Source organism: Homo sapiens, chromosome 10 (assembly GCF_000001405.40).
Source record: "Homo sapiens chromosome 10, GRCh38.p14 Primary Assembly".
NCBI lineage: Eukaryota > Metazoa > Chordata > Mammalia > Primates > Hominidae > Homo > Homo sapiens.
In genome coordinates, this window is record NC_000010.11 from 70,289,081 (window position 1) to 70,305,402 (window position 16,322).

At 49.3% G+C, this 16,322-nt stretch overlaps 1 protein-coding gene across 17 annotated transcripts in view, besides 2 other annotated features; it reads right to left on the reverse strand.

Annotated features, from left to right (window-relative positions):
- Positions 2,510 to 2,720: a silencer, noted in NCBI's record as "fragment chr10:72051346-72051556 (GRCh37/hg19 assembly coordinates)". NCBI's record gives its function as "represses an EF-1alpha promoter that drives an FKBP-Casp9 reporter gene in an ReSE screen in phorbol 12-myristate 13-acetate-treated (for megakaryocytic differentiation) K562 erythroleukemia cells {active_cell/tissue: K562(+PMA)}" and the evidence as "EXISTENCE:reporter gene assay evidence [ECO:0000049][PMID:32094911]".
- Positions 4,366 to 4,485: an enhancer, noted in NCBI's record as "active region_3500". NCBI's record gives its function as "activates an Ori minimal core promoter by ATAC-STARR-seq in GM12878 lymphoblastoid cells {active_cell/tissue: GM12878}" and the evidence as "EXISTENCE:reporter gene assay evidence [ECO:0000049][PMID:35858748]".
- The window catches only part of LRRC20 (leucine rich repeat containing 20), an 83,651-nt gene continuing 77,223 nt past the window's right edge, over positions 9,895 to 16,322 (reverse strand). For all 17 annotated transcript variants that reach the window (NR_103467.2, NR_103468.2, NM_001278214.2 and 14 more), the window contains one exon: positions 9,895 to 12,428. Coding sequence is in view for 15 of the 17 variants with exons in the window: in NM_001278214.2 (NP_001265143.1) it covers positions 12,274 to 12,428 (155 nt within the window). In the remaining 2 variants the exon portion in view is untranslated. The remainder of the gene's footprint in view (positions 12,429 to 16,322) is intronic.

The following is a 16,322-nucleotide window of genomic DNA, read 5'->3' on the forward strand; positions in this document are numbered from 1 at the left end:
TCAGAATCAGACTTTCTCGGGAGTAGTGAGGGCAGCCAAAGGAGACAATAGAAAGCCAGAAATCCAGATATTTATTTATTTATTTATTTAGAGACAGAGTCTCACTCTGTTGCCCAGGCTGGAGTGCAGTGGTACAATCTTGGCTCACTGCAACTTCTGCCTCCCAGGTGCAAGCGATCCTCCTGCCTCAGCCTCCCAAGTAGCTAGTATTACAGGTGCGTGTCACCACGCCTGGCTAATTTTTGTATTTTTAGTAGAGACAGGGTTTCACCATGTTGGCCAGGCTGGTCTTGAACTCCTGACCTCAAGTGATCTGCCTCCCTCGGCCTCCCAAAGCACTGGGATTATAGGTGTGAGCCATTGTGCCTGGCCTCCAGATATTTTTCATAAAAAATTTCAGCTCCCAATTAAAAAATGCTGGGCAACAAATTCACAATTATTTTTAAACATGGTACAGGCCAAACAATGTATCAATGGGTTGAATTTGGCTCTAAACCCTCTTGCAACTTCTTAACATCTCTAGAGACCAAGAATTCTCAATCCTGACTGCACATTAGAATTGTATAGGGGAGCTTTAAGAAAAATCACTGGCACTGAGCCTCTAACGCAGACTAATTGAAGCTCGCTTGATTCTGTGGAATCAGAGCAATTCAATTGTATTCATCTCTGTTTGGATAGGGTCTGCACATCAGTGATTTTTCAAAACTCTCCAAGTGACTCTGATGTTCAGGCAAGATAGAGAATCACTGCCGCAACCCTTCTCGGCTTCTTACCTGCCGCAAGGGTCCTGGTCTCATAGAGCTTGTGGTCAACTGCGGGAGACATGAATGAATGAGTGAGTGAATGAATGAATGATGACCTTGTCTGTGGTCCACACACCATACTCTCCCCAGTGATCTCCCCAAATCATGCCCCTCACCGTCCATTTCCATTCCCCTGCAGACTTCCAGGTACTTCCTGGTTAAACCCAATCTCTTCCACAGGCCACCCAAGATGCCCACGGCCCAGTCCTTGTCCATTTCCCCACCCTGCAATCCTACCGCTTCTCCCTCCCACCTGACCCGCTCCTCACTGAGCACCTTGCTGTTCCACTAACTGCTCCGCGCCTTGGCATGTGCTATGCCCTCTGCCTGGCTATCTTTTGGTGCTCCCTCTCCTGTCCCCCTCCTCACCTGCCCATCAGCCTGTCTCTTGTCCCATCCTCTCTGCTCCCACATCTAGAATAGCTCTTAGATCAGTGATTCCCAAACTGCTGCACTTTAGAATCTCCTGGGGAGACTTGAAGTCATCACACCCCATACCAATAAAATCAGAATGTCTCAGTGTGGGAACCAGATCAGTTTGTTAGTTTGTTTGTTTATTCCAGCCTGGGTGACAGAGCAAGACCCTGTCCCAGAACACCGTGGTGTGATCTTGGCTCATTGCAACCTCCGCCTCCTGGGCTCAAGCAATTCTCCTGCCTCAATCTTCCAGTTAGCGGGGATTACAGGCACATGTCACCACGCTCGGCTAATTTTTATATTTTTAGTAGAGACGGGGGGTTTCACCATTTTGCCCAGGCTAGTCTCGAACTCCTGACCTCAAGTGATCCACCTGCCACGGCCTCCCAAAGTGCTGGGATTATAGGCATGAGCCACCATGCCCGGTCCCAGATCAGGAGTTTCTAAAGATTCTCAGGTGACTCCAATGTGCAGCAAGATTTCAGAATTACTGCCTAGGACATTCCAGTCATATTTCTCTTCCCACGCCTGTTTCCCCGGCTAGTCTATGAACTTCCCACAGGCTGTGTGGTAAATAAGCAGAAATTTTTTTTTTTTTTTTGAGACAGAGTCTCACTCTGTCACCCAGGCTGGAGTTCAGTGATGCCATCTTGACTCACTGCAACCTCCACCTCCTGAGTTCAAGCGATTCTCCTGCCTCAGCCTCCTGAGTAGCTGGGACTACAGGCGTGTGCCACCACACCAGCTAATTTTTTGTTGTTGTTGTTTTGTATTTTTAGTAGAGACAGGGTTTCATCGTGTTAGCCAGGATGGTCTCGATCTCCTAACCTTGTGATCCGCCCACCTCAGCCTCCCAAAGTGCTGGGATTACAGGTGTAAGCCTGAAATTTTTTTCTCATGGTTATGGAAGCTGAGAGTCCCGGATCAAGGTTCCGGCTGACTTGGTTTCTGGTGAGGGTACTCTTCCTGACTTGCAGACACCCCTTCCCGCCATGTCCTCCCATGGCCCTTCCTTGGTGTGTGCACACAAGAGAGAGAGGAAGCTCCCTGGTGTCTCCTTTTATAAGGTCACTAATCCAAGGAGATCAGGTCCCCACCCCAGGACCTCACTTAACTTTCATTACTTCCTATGGGCCCTATCTCCAGTCACATTGTGGGGTTAGGGCTTCGACATAGGAATTTTGAGGGACACATTGAGTCCCTAATGCCCTCCAAGAGCAGAGACCCTTTCTCTTGCACAGCAGCAGGCCCCGTCCTAGCATCCTCCCTGGTCATAGGCCCTCAGTGGGTGTTGATGGAACCCACAAGGCCTGTGTTGGCCTCATACACACACTCCTCATCCTCTAAGCAGAGTCGGAGGCGTGTTCCGAGATGCCTGAGAGGGTTGGTAGGTACCCGGGAGAAGGGTTGGCATGAGGCTGAAGACAGCCCTGTGGGATACCTCCCCTGTGGTGGGGAAGCCAGGCACCTCCCATGGAGACAGTCTATCTCTCGCTGGCTGGAAATGCACACGGGCCTTTGGGGCAAGGAAGTCCATTGGTGTAGCTACCATTTTGAAAAGGCACAGAATCCACAGGAAAGGGGGGGTCTCCGTGTGGTGAAAATATGGCCCCTGGAGTCAGACCCCCAGCACATCCCCAGCATTTTCAGTGTGTTTGTTTATGGTGGTGTGAAAGGAGGGACTGTCCCCTTGAAAAGCAAGGCCAGGGGAGCTGCAGAGAGGCTGAGACCTAGGCAGCAGTGGGGTCCCTTCCTAGGAGCCAGGAGGCATCCCTCCATCTCCTTAACCAGCCTCGGAGGAGCAGTTGCTTCAAAAGGTTGTAAAATGCTTATTAATCAGCTCTCCCTAGGGAAGCAGGTCAGCATCATTATCTGCATTAATAAATGACAAGTGAGGTTTCCAATGGCTGATTCACTTCCACAGCACAGCCGGGGCAGCAGTGGCCACAGAGGAGATGCCAGGAGTGCCACGTAGAGGAGCTCCCAAACCCCAGCGCCCAGTGAGGGCCACAGAAAGAACCCAGAGCATGCAGCCAGGAAACCTGGGCATTCGTCTGGGTTCCACCAACTCCCTGCACATCCTTGGGTGGGTTGCTCCACTTGCTCTTGAACGCTGTGGAACATTCCCTCTAGAACTTGGGGTTCCCATCTACGAAGCAGAAGAGGTTTGGATCAGAACTTTTCCCCTCTGACAGCTCACCTTCTCCTCTGGAGAATCTGCATGCAGGGAGTCTTCCTAGGGTGGACTGGGATGCCCTGAGGAACTCCAGCTGTCTTAGGTTCTGCACCCTGGGTGCAATGAGAGCTTTTTGGGTGAGCACTACTAGGTCAAGAAGGATTCAGGCCACTATATCAGGAAAAACACATCTCTACAAGGTGGTGGGAAAGTGGTGAAGCCTCTTGGGAAGAGGTGGGCAGTTATCGGGGATAGCTGGGGCAGCCCTGGGGCCTCCTCCAGCTTAGATGGGGCCTTCTGTAAACCATTTCTTGGGCCCTGGACACCAATTCTACAAGACATGGACTCTGCTCTGGATTTGAGGCTGGGCATGGTGGCTTACACCTGTAATCCCAGTGCTTTGGAAGCTGAGGCAGGAGGATCTCTTCAGGCCAGGAGTTTGAGACCAGCCTGGACAACATAGCAAGACTCCATCTCTACGAAAAAATTTAAAAGTTAGCTGCGGATGGTGGCACGTGCCTGTAATCCCAGCTACTGAGGAGGCTGAAGCAGGAGGATCGCTTGGGCCCAGGAATTCAAGGATGCAGTGAGATTGTGCCACTATACTCTAGCCTGGGCAACACAATGAGACCCCGTCTCTTAAAAAAAAAAGGCTGGATTTGGATCTGAATTGAATCTGAATTGTGCCCCCAGCCACCAGCCTCGACTAATGTCGATCTTGGCCAGGCTGAACATCTCCTCTCCCCAGATTCTTCATCTATATAATTGAAATAATAGTAGCTGCCTCCTGTGTTGCTGTGGGGGTTAAACGAGGTGAGAAGTGGAGAGCACTTAGTGTGGTCACAGACACCTGGTGAGCTGCTGGTGATGCTTTTCACTTCCTCTACTCTTTTTTGACACCTCTGGTTTTTTCCTTTCACGTCAAGCTTTGGGTGGCTCTTGCCTTTCTCTAAGAGAAACACGGAGCAGCTGATAAATTTGGTCCCAGGAATGTTAACGCTCAAGATACCCTCCCAGGGGAATCTGTTACAAGGAAATATGACCCAAAATCTAGAAAAGAGACAAAGATGATAACTGCATTGTTCAACAGGCCTGCCTGTGAGAATGTACCACTGTAACTTTGTTAGTTACTATTAATTAAAGGCACAGACTCTGTGAGGTTACTTGTTAACTTATGGATTCCTGTCCGGCAGAAAAAAATAACCCCAAGTTGACTTTATCAGCTGGCAGGACATTCATGCCCACAAATCACATGGGAATCCTGTTAAAATGCAGATTCTGATTCAATAGGCCTGGGGAGAGACCTAGACAATACAGTTCTTTTCTTTTTTCTTTCTTTTTTTTTTTTGAGATGGAGTTTCGCTCCTGTTTCCTGGGCTGGAGTGCAATGGCGTAATCTTAGCTCACTGCACCTCCATCTCCCGGGTTCAAGCAATTCTCCTGCCTCAGCCTCCCAAGTAGCTGGGATTACAGGCTCACACCACCATGCTCGGCTAATTTTTGTATTTTTAGTAGAGACAGGGTTTCGCCATGTTGGCCAGGCTGGTCTCGAACTCCTGACCTCAAGTGATCCACCTGCCTCAGCCTCCCAAAGTGCTGGGATTACAGGCGTGAGCCACCGCGCCCGGCTGACACTACAGTTCTAACACACTCCCAAGTGCTGTTGATGCTGATCGTCTGAGGTCCACACTTTGAGTAGCGAGGGCCTGGTCCACTAGGAATTCCCTTCTGAATCCTGGCAGGGGTTAAAATAAGATCATATGGACAGGGCAATGCCTCATCAACAGCAGCAGTCTCATCCTGGTGGGCTTTCAGGCACAGTGGCAGGCTAAGGGACAGCACTGGGGACTGACTGTTCTCTCTTAGCTCATGTACACTGACTCCTGGCCACCCCACTTAGGAAAAGCCCCAGCCACAATACCATGGCTTGTGAGTGTCTGGAAAGACCAAAGTGAGGAAGACTTCCTGGTGTTTTTCAGTCCTTTGGAAGCAAACTCTGCTGGTGAGCACAGGTATTTAATATGGTACCTGAACTTGGGCTGGTAAGTGGATATCACACGGCAGTTCTCTCACAAGCAGAGGCCCCCAAGCATCAGTGCATATCAACCACCTGTCCATTCAGTCATTCAGTAAACATACATGTGTACCCACTATGAGCCAGGCATCACTCCAGGTGCTGGAGACACAGCAGAGACTAAGAAGGACAAAGATCCTTCCTTCATAGGAATTTTATTCTAGCGAGAGTAGACAGACAAGAAGCCATAGATATAAGTAAATTATAGCGTATATTGGAGAAGCACTATAGATAAAGGAAAAGGTGAGCAGGTTAAGGGAGATAAAAGTGACAGAAGTGCAACGGGGCAGGCTGCAGTAGGGTGGTTAGGGTAGACCTCGATTTGAGTAGACTTGAAGGAAATAAGGGAGTTGGCCATGGGAATATCTTGGTGGGTGTGTGAGGGCTGTGGGGAGCAAATGCGAAGGCCCTGAGAAGTGAACACATGTGGGGTGTTGGAGGACCAGCTGGAAGCCAGTGTGTCTGGAGTACGAAAGAGACCACAGAAGTAACAGAGGGCGGGTGATTCCAGAACTCGAAGACCATGGTAAGGCCTGGGCTTTTATACTGAAATAAGTGGAGAGCCATGGCAGGGCTCGGAGCAGATGAGAGAGTTGGGATTTAGAAGGATCCTCTGCGCGCTGTGTGAAGGATGAATAGGGACCTTTTAAGGTGCAGAGGTATGAGTCCTATTCCAGAGTCTGGTTTAATGGGGCTCATATAGGTCTGGTAATCTACATTTGAGAAAGCTCCCGTGATTGGTTCTCTTGGAAATAGTCCATAGATGCAGCACCAGCCCTAGCACAGCGCCAGGTGGCCCATTCACAGTTTTCTATGCAAATGGTGCCAGTTACTGAGACTGCATTGTGAGTGACACCCCCTGCAGTCATGCACTGGGGTAGTCCTGCAGAGTCCACCCTGGAGGGCACCCCAACTTAAGTGCTTCCCAGCTACAGGAAGCAGGGTTCCCAGGTGCTTCTGCTGGCATGAACTTGAATGTACACACATAGGGTAGCAAGGGCTCCAGTTGGCTCCCAGCCAACGCCTTGAGTACTTCATCATCCTCAAAGGCCTGAGACAGAGCCTTTGTAGATTCCTGAACTATGAAGATGGAGGGAGCGGGGAACTGTCAATCTTCTCATCCTCTGTGGGACTAAATCTCCCATTGGCCAGATGAGCTCCAGGTATGTGTGGCATGCAGATCTGCACGGCACTGAGAGAGGTGAGGTTCTTATCTGGGCACTAAAGGCTGTGCCCACACAGCCTTATGCCTAAGGGTGGGCACAAGCAGATGTGAGAGGAAACTCTCTGGAGTGTGAACTGGGCACCATGCTGATGCACTTACCTTTGTCACCTGTTCTTAACCCTATGGGATTAGGAAAGGTAGTGTTGGCACCCACTTTATAGATGAGGAAAGTAAAGCTTCAGAGAGGTCTTTTCACAGGAATGGGTTGGTAGAAGGACCGTGTCAGCTAAAGAAAGCAATCAACCACTTCAGTCCAAGCTGGCCTCCTGAGGGACCCGGGGCTCACAGCAAAAACCCGGAACTTGCAACCCAGTTTAAACCAACCCCAGCCCTGCTCCTTCCTAGTCACATGCTAAGCCTGTTTCTTCATCCATAGAGTGGGCACCAAGAGGGGTGATGTTAACAATAAATGAGAAACACACTGGGCCAGGCGTGGTGGCTCATGCCTGTAATCCGGCACTTTGGGAGGCTGAGGCGGGCGGATCACCTGAAGTCAGGAATTCCAGACCACCCTGGCCAACATGGCAAAACCCTGTATCTACTAAAAAAATACAAAATTAATCGGGCATGGTGGTGCGCGCCTGTAGTCCCAGCTACTCGGGAGGCTGAGACAGAAGAGTCACTTGAACCTGGGAGGTGGAGGTTGCAGTGAGCCAAGATCACACCACTGCACTCCAACCTGGGTGACAGAGCGAGACTCTGCGTCAAAAACAAAAAAACAAAAAACAAAAAAACCCAAACCACATACCAGTGCCTGCCTGGTGCTGATAAAACACTAGGAGCTCCAGGGGTGCTCCTGCTTGGACCTAACGCAGCTCGGCTATGTCCCTTTTCTCAGGCATGGATCGAGCCTGCCTGGCCTGGAGACACAGTCAGAGCACGGCCTGGCTGCTCATGGGCTGGAGAGGTTTTCCTGCCCAGTTGCCTGAGTCACGCTCTTCCCCCAGGCCCGCCCTTCCTGCCCTTCACATCTGGTTCAGGGCTCTGCCGAGGCCTTCTGGGGCAGGTGCCAATTATCGCTCAGGAACTGCTGCTTGCTTCCCAGGGCTGGCTTTCTGTGAAGGGACGGGCACATCTCATGTGAAGAACAGACCCAAAGCGGGGCTCTGGGGTACAACATGGTATTTGGGTGAGACTACAATTAGAATCCTGTAGCCCCACACAGCTTCCCGTCCACATTATTCCTCCATCTTTTCCAGCATAACAGTACTAGTCCTGGAAACTCTTGCCCAGGAAGAAAAAGTTGTAAATAACTTTACTGTTCGTTCCAGGAGCTTTCTGAAGGAATCATTTAAAGCAACAGCAAACTGATCAACTCTTAATCACATCAAAAGAGAGTTTACGCACCAAGACTCTTTGAACCCTTTGCCTCAAAATCCCCCTTTGCTGTGTCCACCGATCCTAAACTATGTCCTGATCTTTACCCAATCCTAATCGAGGCTTCCTTCTCTGCATTGAAAGTCCCACCTAAAACCAAACTCTGAAATCTCTCATCACTTCCTGACTGTCTTCCCAAGTCTGACACGCTAGGAAAACTGTCAAGTTCGAGCAGGAAAAGTAGAATCAGCTTCTCCTGATTAACAGGTGGATCTGGTGATGTTTTCGGTGAGGCATCCTTCAACAGAAAACTACGCAGGTGGGAGTCCTCTCTCTGACCTCTGACCTTTGGGGTGGGGGAGGCCAGCGGCCTGAGTCCAGGCTAATCCACAGGGGGCAGTTATAAGTGATCACAGGGCCTTCAGGAGCTGAGAAATAGTGACCATATGAGTTCTGGAAATGCCCTTAGGGGTCTCCTGGTTTAGCCCCTTAGTTTTACAGACAGGAAACAGGGCCTGGAGAGGAAAAGAGATTTATCCAAATCACAAAGCTAGCTAGGATTGTTATAGGGATTAAATGAGTTAATAGGTATAATGCACTAAGACACTGCCTGGTACCCACTAAGCTCTATGTGTGTTTGTTAAATAAAAATAATTGGGCCAGGCGCAGTGGCTCACACTTGTAATCCCAGCACTTTGGGAGGCCGAGGCGGGTGGATCACCTGAGGCCAGGAGTTCAAGACCAGCCTGGTCAACGTGGTGAAACCCGGTCTCTATTAAAAATACAAAAATTAGCCATGCATGGTGACGCATGCCTGTAATCCCAGCTACTAGGGGACTGAGGCAGGAGGACTGCTTGAACCTGGAAGGTGGAGGTTGCAGTGAGCTGAGATCGTGCCACTGCACTCCAGCCTGGGCAACAGAGTGAGACTCCGTCTCAAAAATAAAAAATAAAATAAAAGGAATAATGGATCGGCTGGGAGTGGGCTCATGCCTGTAATCCCAGCACTTTGGGAGGCCGGGGTAGGTGAATCACCTGAGGTCAGGAGTTCAAGACCAGCCTGACAAACATAGCGAAACTCCATTTCTACTAAAAATACAAAATTAGCCAGGCATGGTGGTGGGCGCCTATAATCCCAGCTACTTGGGAGGCTGAGGCAAGAGAATCTCTTGAACTGGGAGGTAGAGGTTGCAGTGAGCCGAGATCACGCCATTGCACTCCAGCCTGGGCAACAATAGTGAAACTCCGTCTCAAATAGTAATAATAATAATAATAATTAGAAACAATGGAGCATCTGGACTAAAACTCAAGGCAAACTTAAGCTGGCCTCTCAGACTTAAGAAAAGCAAAACCTGACTTTAACATTGAACCCAGAGCAGTAGTTCTCTAACTTCAGCAGGCATCGGAACCACATGGAGTGCTTGTTAAGAGTGCTGGGCCCCATCCCCGAGTTTCAGATTCTGCACATCTAGGGTGGAGTCAACTATTCGCATTTCTAACTAACTTCCTGGTGCTGCGGATGCTGCTGGCCCAGAGATCCCTCTTTGAGAACCATGGACTCAGAGGAACAAATTACTAAGGGAATAATTTCTGGCACTGGTAAGAGAGAAATGTGGAGATAGTGGGTCTCTTCATCCTTTCCCAGATACACAGTCTCCCCCTGATGTTTAGCCATCCTGCAGTAACGCAGCTGGGGGGCACGCACCAATTCTGCTTGGCTGCACCTGTGCCCACCTGTGAATAATCCACGTTTCATCCCGTTCTAGCCTTCTTTACCTCGTGCTTTCAACAAGAGGGCACCCCTCTTGCATGTGGGCTGGTTTGACGCCCAGGCTATAGGAGGTCTGTACAGTGAGAATGAATCAAACACCAACCAGGCAGATGAAACCAATGCATTCTTTATTGCAGACTGAAGCTTAGGGGCTCACTCACTGTGAGCTCTGATTTGGGGGCATCTGTGGCTGCCCACACTTTCCAAGACAGACAAGGGCAAACTCTCCAAGCAGAGGAGAAAACAACTTCCAGAAGCTGCCCCTTCAAAGGCCTGAGGTGAGGACCTGGGGCAGCAGGCAGCTTGGCATGCAGGGGTTAACCAGAAAGGCCGGGTCTGGAGGGCTGGGCACACCTAACCCTCATCTCCTGGTGACTGCAGGTCACACTCCCTTCTTCAGGAGTGCCATGCAGACTCTGGAACAATCTAACAGGCCAAGTGTCTCCCAGGGTGGGTTAGGGAGGAGGCTGAGCACAGGCTCAGATCCCTGGAAGTGGCAGGGAGAGAACTGAGAGAAACTTCACCCTCTGCTCGGAGGACATCCCCAGCCTAGGTCCTTGCTTCTCAAACTCTAAAGTGCTTATAGGAATCAGCTGGGGGTCTTGCTAAAATGCAGGGTCTGAGTCGGGAGGTATAGGGTGAGGCCTAGACTCTGCATTCCTAACAAGCTCCCAGGTGTCACTGCCGCTGCTGGTCCACAGACCACACTTTGAGTTGCAAGGCTCTGGTCATACATTGTGTTTGTGCACATCAGAGAAGGATGCCTCTTCTTCAACAAGGAGAAACCCCACTCCAGGGCACAAGGCAGGTGGGGCCAGCGCAGCCTGCACAGGACTTCAGCCCCCACTTGCCCCCAACACCCACAGATGAACTCGGTAGCTCTGGAGATCCTGTCTTGACCTCCTCATCCTGAAAACCCTTTGCCCAGAGTTTGACCAACCAGGCCTTGGGATACGAGCAGAATGAACAGAGTCTCTTGAGATACTGAGCGCTCAGTGATGGCCCAACAATGGCCCGACCTATCAGTTCCTTCCCAAGAGACAAGAGACCTGGGCAGGGACGAGGGAACTGGGAGCATTCTGAGCAGGGATTACTGCTCTGAGCAGTGGTCTGAGCTCTCAACATCTTAGCCTTAGGAGTAGTAAAGTGGCCACTCGTCCACGGCACACAGGATTTGGACGGCCTGGCTTTGCCTCAAGCTCTGGGGCCTCAGGTGTCTCTGGAGATGCAAACAAAGATGCAGATCAGGTGGGGTCTGGGGCACTGAGTTGGCTTGCTCCACAGATGAGGAGAAGGTGGGAGGTAGATACCTGAGGACCAAGCAGTCAAGGTTCTTCAAGCCACAGGCGTTCTCGGGAAGCAAGAGCCCCAGGCCCTCTCCTGGTAGGGGACCAACCATCCCCACTTGCTGGGTACTGTCCCAGTTTTAGCATTGAAAGTTCCATGTCCTGGGAAACCAGGACAGCTGGTCACCCTGTTGCCTGACCATACCCTAAGATGCCAGGTTGAGGGCCTCAGAAGAACCAGGTCATCAGGGCTTTGGGCGTTGGCCTGGGAGCTGGCTGGCTACAAATCCCGTGGTCCACATCGCCTTCTGCCCCCAGGAGGCCATGACAAGGCAGCCAGGCTGCTGCTGGACTGGACAGTGGTGAGGGTGGCCATCTAATCACTTTAGACAAGAGCTGCAGGTGTAACTGACTCTGCTGTTCTCTGGGCCACCTCTCCCGCAGCTCAGGAGTGATGCTAGAGGGACGGAGCACTCAGGACTTCCCACCCCGCCAATTTGTTAACTGTGGGGAATGACAGAGCTGACGTGACTTGCTCCCCATTCCCAGCCTGCTGGTCCTCGGGCTCCTACATGAATGTTCTTGCCCTGCAGCAGTGCCAGCCCATATTCCCACCACAGCTCTCCCAGGACTCCTAGTTCAGGTTCCCACCAGTCCAGGGACCACAGGACTGAAGACTGGGCCCTGCAGAGGGCCGCATCCAGGTCAGTTCTCAGGAAGCAATAAATAGATGGAGGTTGTCTTCTCTTCTCAGGGCAGCAACTGGCTCTCAGCACTAAAAACAAGGCCTCAAACCCGCAGGGGCTCAGAAAATACCTGGCAATGCCCACCTGTGCCTGCTGATCTGGAGGTAACTTGGAGGCACGTACTGCTTAAAAACCTCCAGGGAGCCCAAAGGAGGGAAAGGGTCCTGTTTTTTTCAAGTGACAAGGCTCAGAGAGGGCAGGAGATCTGCCTGAGTTTGCACAGCAGCTGTGAGTGCCGAGTCCAGGCTGCAGGCCCCACCTTGCCTCTTCCCTTGGGCATTCCAGAGCCCACTACTGCTGTAAGCTATCTATCCAGACCAGCTGCACCCCACCCACCACGTGCTGCTCGGCCCACCCGCCCCCAGCCCCCAGGCTTGGCCTCCCATGGGCCTCCCTCCCTTCCAGGGTTCCAGGCCTGTGGCCTCTGCCCCTTGCTGGGTGGGCATGAGGAGGGTGGCCTAAGGTAGGGGGGCTCTTGCGCCTTCCGGAGACATGAGCATGTCAAACTTGATGAGCGGCGGGGCGATCACGCGCACCTCGGCGTTGAGTGGGTTGAAGCGGAGGTTGATGCTGCGCAAGGCTGGCATGGCGGCCAGCTTCTCCACGGGCACATCTATTGGGGACAGAATGGACAGGTTAGAGTGGTGGAGGCCAACCAGACAGAAAAGAAGGACAATGGGCCATGAGGACTCTGAGCACCTGATGGTGAGGGGCAGCTCTCCATTGCCCACTGCACGTGGGCTCAGCTCCTGGTGCCCAGCCCTGTGCAAAGGGCCATCGGGCCCACCAGGATATAACAACCACATGGAGGAAAGCATCCTTAAAAATAAGAATCAACTGCTTCAAAAAGTTAAACGTAGGATTGCCATACAACCCAGCAATTTTACTCCTAGGTAGAACTGAAAGAATTAAAAACAGGCATTCAAACAAATAATTTTACACAAATGTTCATAGCAGCACTATTTATAATAGTCAAATGTCCACCAATAGATGAATGGATAAACAATATGATATATACTATGTTGTCCATATATATGTCCATATATATATGATATATGGAATACTATGTAGCCTTTTAAAGGAACGCAATTCCGATACAGGTTACAACATGAATGAACCTTGAAAACATTGTGCTAGGCCAGTCGTGGTGGCTCACGCCTGTAATCCCAGCACTTTGGGAGGGTGAGGCGGGTGGATCACGAGGTCAGGATTTCAAGACCTGCCTGGCCAAGCTGGTGAAACCCCATCTCTACTAAAAATACAAAAACATTAGCCGGGCATGGTGGTGGGTGCTTGTAATCCCAGCTACTTGGGAGGCTGTGGCAGAGAATTGCTTGAACCCACGAGGCGGAGGTTGCAGTGAGGGGAAATCGCACCACTGCACTCCAGCCTGGGCGACAAAGCAAAGCTCTGTCTCAAAAAAAAAAGAGAAAATATTGTGCTAAAGAAAGAAGGCAGGCACAAAAAGACAAATACCGTATGACTCCACTTATGTGAGGTACATAGAGTAGTTGAATTCATAGAAACAGAAAGTAGAACAGAGGTTCCCAGGGGCTAGGAGAAGGGGAAGTAGGGATTTATTGCTTAATAGCTACAGTTTCTGTTGGAGTGATGAAAATATTTTGGAAATAGATAGCGGTGATGGTTGCGCAACATGGTGAAAGTAATTAATGCCACTGAGCTACAGTATGCTTAAAAATGGTTAAAATCAGCCAGGCTATAGTCTCAGCTAGTCAGGAGGCTGAGGCAGGAGAATCTCTTGAGCCCAGGAGTTCAAAGTCAGGATGGGCAACATAGTGAGACCCCAGTCTCTATTTCTTTTTTTTTTTTTTTGAGACGGAGTTTCGCTCTGTCGCCCAGGCTGGAGTGCAGTGGCGCGATCTCGACTCACTGCAAGCTCCGCCTCCCAGGTTCACGCCATTCTCCTGCCTCAGCCTCCCGTGTAGCTGGGACTACAGGCGCGCGCCACCATGCCCAGCTAATTTTTTGTATTTTTAGTAGAGACGGGGTTTCACCGTGTTAGCCAGGATGGTCTCGATCTCCTGACCTCGTGATCCGCCCGTCTCGGCCTCCCAAAGTGCTGGGATTACAGGCGTGAGCCACTGCGCCCGGCCCTCTATTTCTTAAAAGAAAAAAAAAAGGTTAAAATGGCACATTTTGTTATATATATTTTATCACAATTAAAAAATAATGTAATATGCCAAAACCACCGAATTGCATATATTAAATGGGTGAATTGTATAGTATGTGTCAATAAAACTATTAAAAAACAAAGACTATTATGTGCATAAAGAATATTTTTGCCAAGAGAGAGGAAGTCGCATACAGTGGCCTATGGAAATTCTTCTTAACTATGGGAATGCCACTCTATCATGCCATCTGCTCCATCATACCCCTAAAGAGTCCCTAAAGAAGCAGACATGACTATCTTGGGTCTATCTAAGGGAGGTTAGTTACAGTTTGAATTTATCAGGACTCCTGATAATGTGCCCTACCTATATCACTGCTCCATAAGAGCTATCTGGGAAGTTCCAGACTATATTGGATCATCACTATGCTGGATCATCACTTAGAGATGGAATGTCCTCTGGAATCAAAACAAACATATCTCCTGTCCCAGCTCTAGTTTCCAAAATTTAACGTGTAGAATTTGGAAATCAAGTTTCAAGCTGTCATCCACCTAACTTACATAAGATACTAGGGCATTTTCCAACACTCATCAAAAATGCCACAGTGTAATAAATATAAAGATAGTAGTGATCTATAATTAATTCCAGGTCCAATATTCTCAGTTATAACTGAAGACGCAGCACAGCCTAGTGTCATAGACATGAAATTTAAGACAGCCCTAAGCTGATGCCCCAGCTTTACCACCTAAAAATTTGTATTACTTCCCGTACCTTGTTTTCCTAATCTTGAAAATGGACATAACTAATATTTCCTCAAACAGAATTAAATTGGGGAGCAACTGCTTAAAGGATATGGGGACTCCTTTGGGGTGACAGAAGTATTTTGGAATTAGATAGAGGTGATGATTGCACAACACTGTGAATGTCCTCAATGCCAATGAATTATACACTTTATGTGGTTAATTTAAGTGGTTAATTTTATGTTATGTGAATTTCGCCTCAGTTTTTTTTTTAAAGGACCAGAATAAGGCAGCAGCTATACTAACACTTGGTAACCTGTTATAGTTCCTCCCACCTAACCTTTAGGATCACTCAGACAACACTAGGACGCTTGCCCTCGACGCGTGCCCTGTGCAAGCTGAGGCTCTGGCTGCATCCGCTCTTCCCCGATCCAATTCCGTGAGCAGCCGGATCCCAGAAAACCTCCCACCCTAGCACAGGACGGGGCCAGACCTCATCCCATGCAGTCCGACACAACCTCAGGCCGATAGTGATGGCAAGAGCCAGCTCCTGTCCTCTCCTAGGCACAAAATATTGCCCACGGTTGGGGGCTTTTTGTTTTTGTGGTTGTTTTGTGTTTAATTTTAGAACACACTAATGGATATTATACACATATTTTACTTTAGGCAAATGGTACTGTGCTATATAGATATCAGGCCACTTCTTTATATATATATATATATATATATATATATATATATATTTTACTAAGCACCAATAACAATCTTTTTTAAATATTATTTTTAATTTTTAATTGTGGTAAAATACAAATAAATTTACCATACTAACCATTTTTAGGTGTACAGTTCAGCAGCATGGACACATTCACATTGTTTTACAACCAATCTCCAGAACTCGATCTTGCAAAACTGAAACTCTATACCCATTTAAACAAAAACTCCCCATCCCTCCCTCCTCCCAGCACCTGGCAACCACCATGAATTTGACTACTCTAGGTACCTCATATAAGTGGACTCATATAGTATTTGCCTTTTTGTGACGGGCTTATGCCACTGAGCATAATGTCCTCAAGGCTCATCCACATTATGGCACGTGGCATTGATAATGCAGGATTATTCAGCCTTAAAAAGGAAGAAATGCCAGCCACGGTGGCTCACACCGGTAATCCCAGCACTTTGGGAGGCGAAGGCAGGTGGATCACCTGAGGTCAGGAGTTCGAGACCAGCCTGACCAACACAGTGAAACCCTGTCTCTACTAAATACAAAAAATTAGCCGGGTGTGGTGGCACATGCCTGTAATCCCAGCTACTTGGGAGGCTGAGGCAGGAGAATCTCTTGAACCTGGGAGGTGGAGGTTGCAGTGAGCCGAGATCACACCACTGCACTCCAGCCTGGGCAACAAGAGCGAAACTCTATCTAAATAAATAAATAATAAAAAGGAAGAAACTTCAGACCCATGTCATAACGTGAATGAACCTTGAGGTTCACCTGTCCATGGTCACTTGGGTTGTTCCCATCGCTTGGCTATGATGAACAATGCTGCTAAGAACATGAGTGCGCCAATATCTCTTCGAGACCCTGCTTTCCATTCTTCTGGGTATATATGTGATGTATACCCAGATGTATGAGACCCCCAC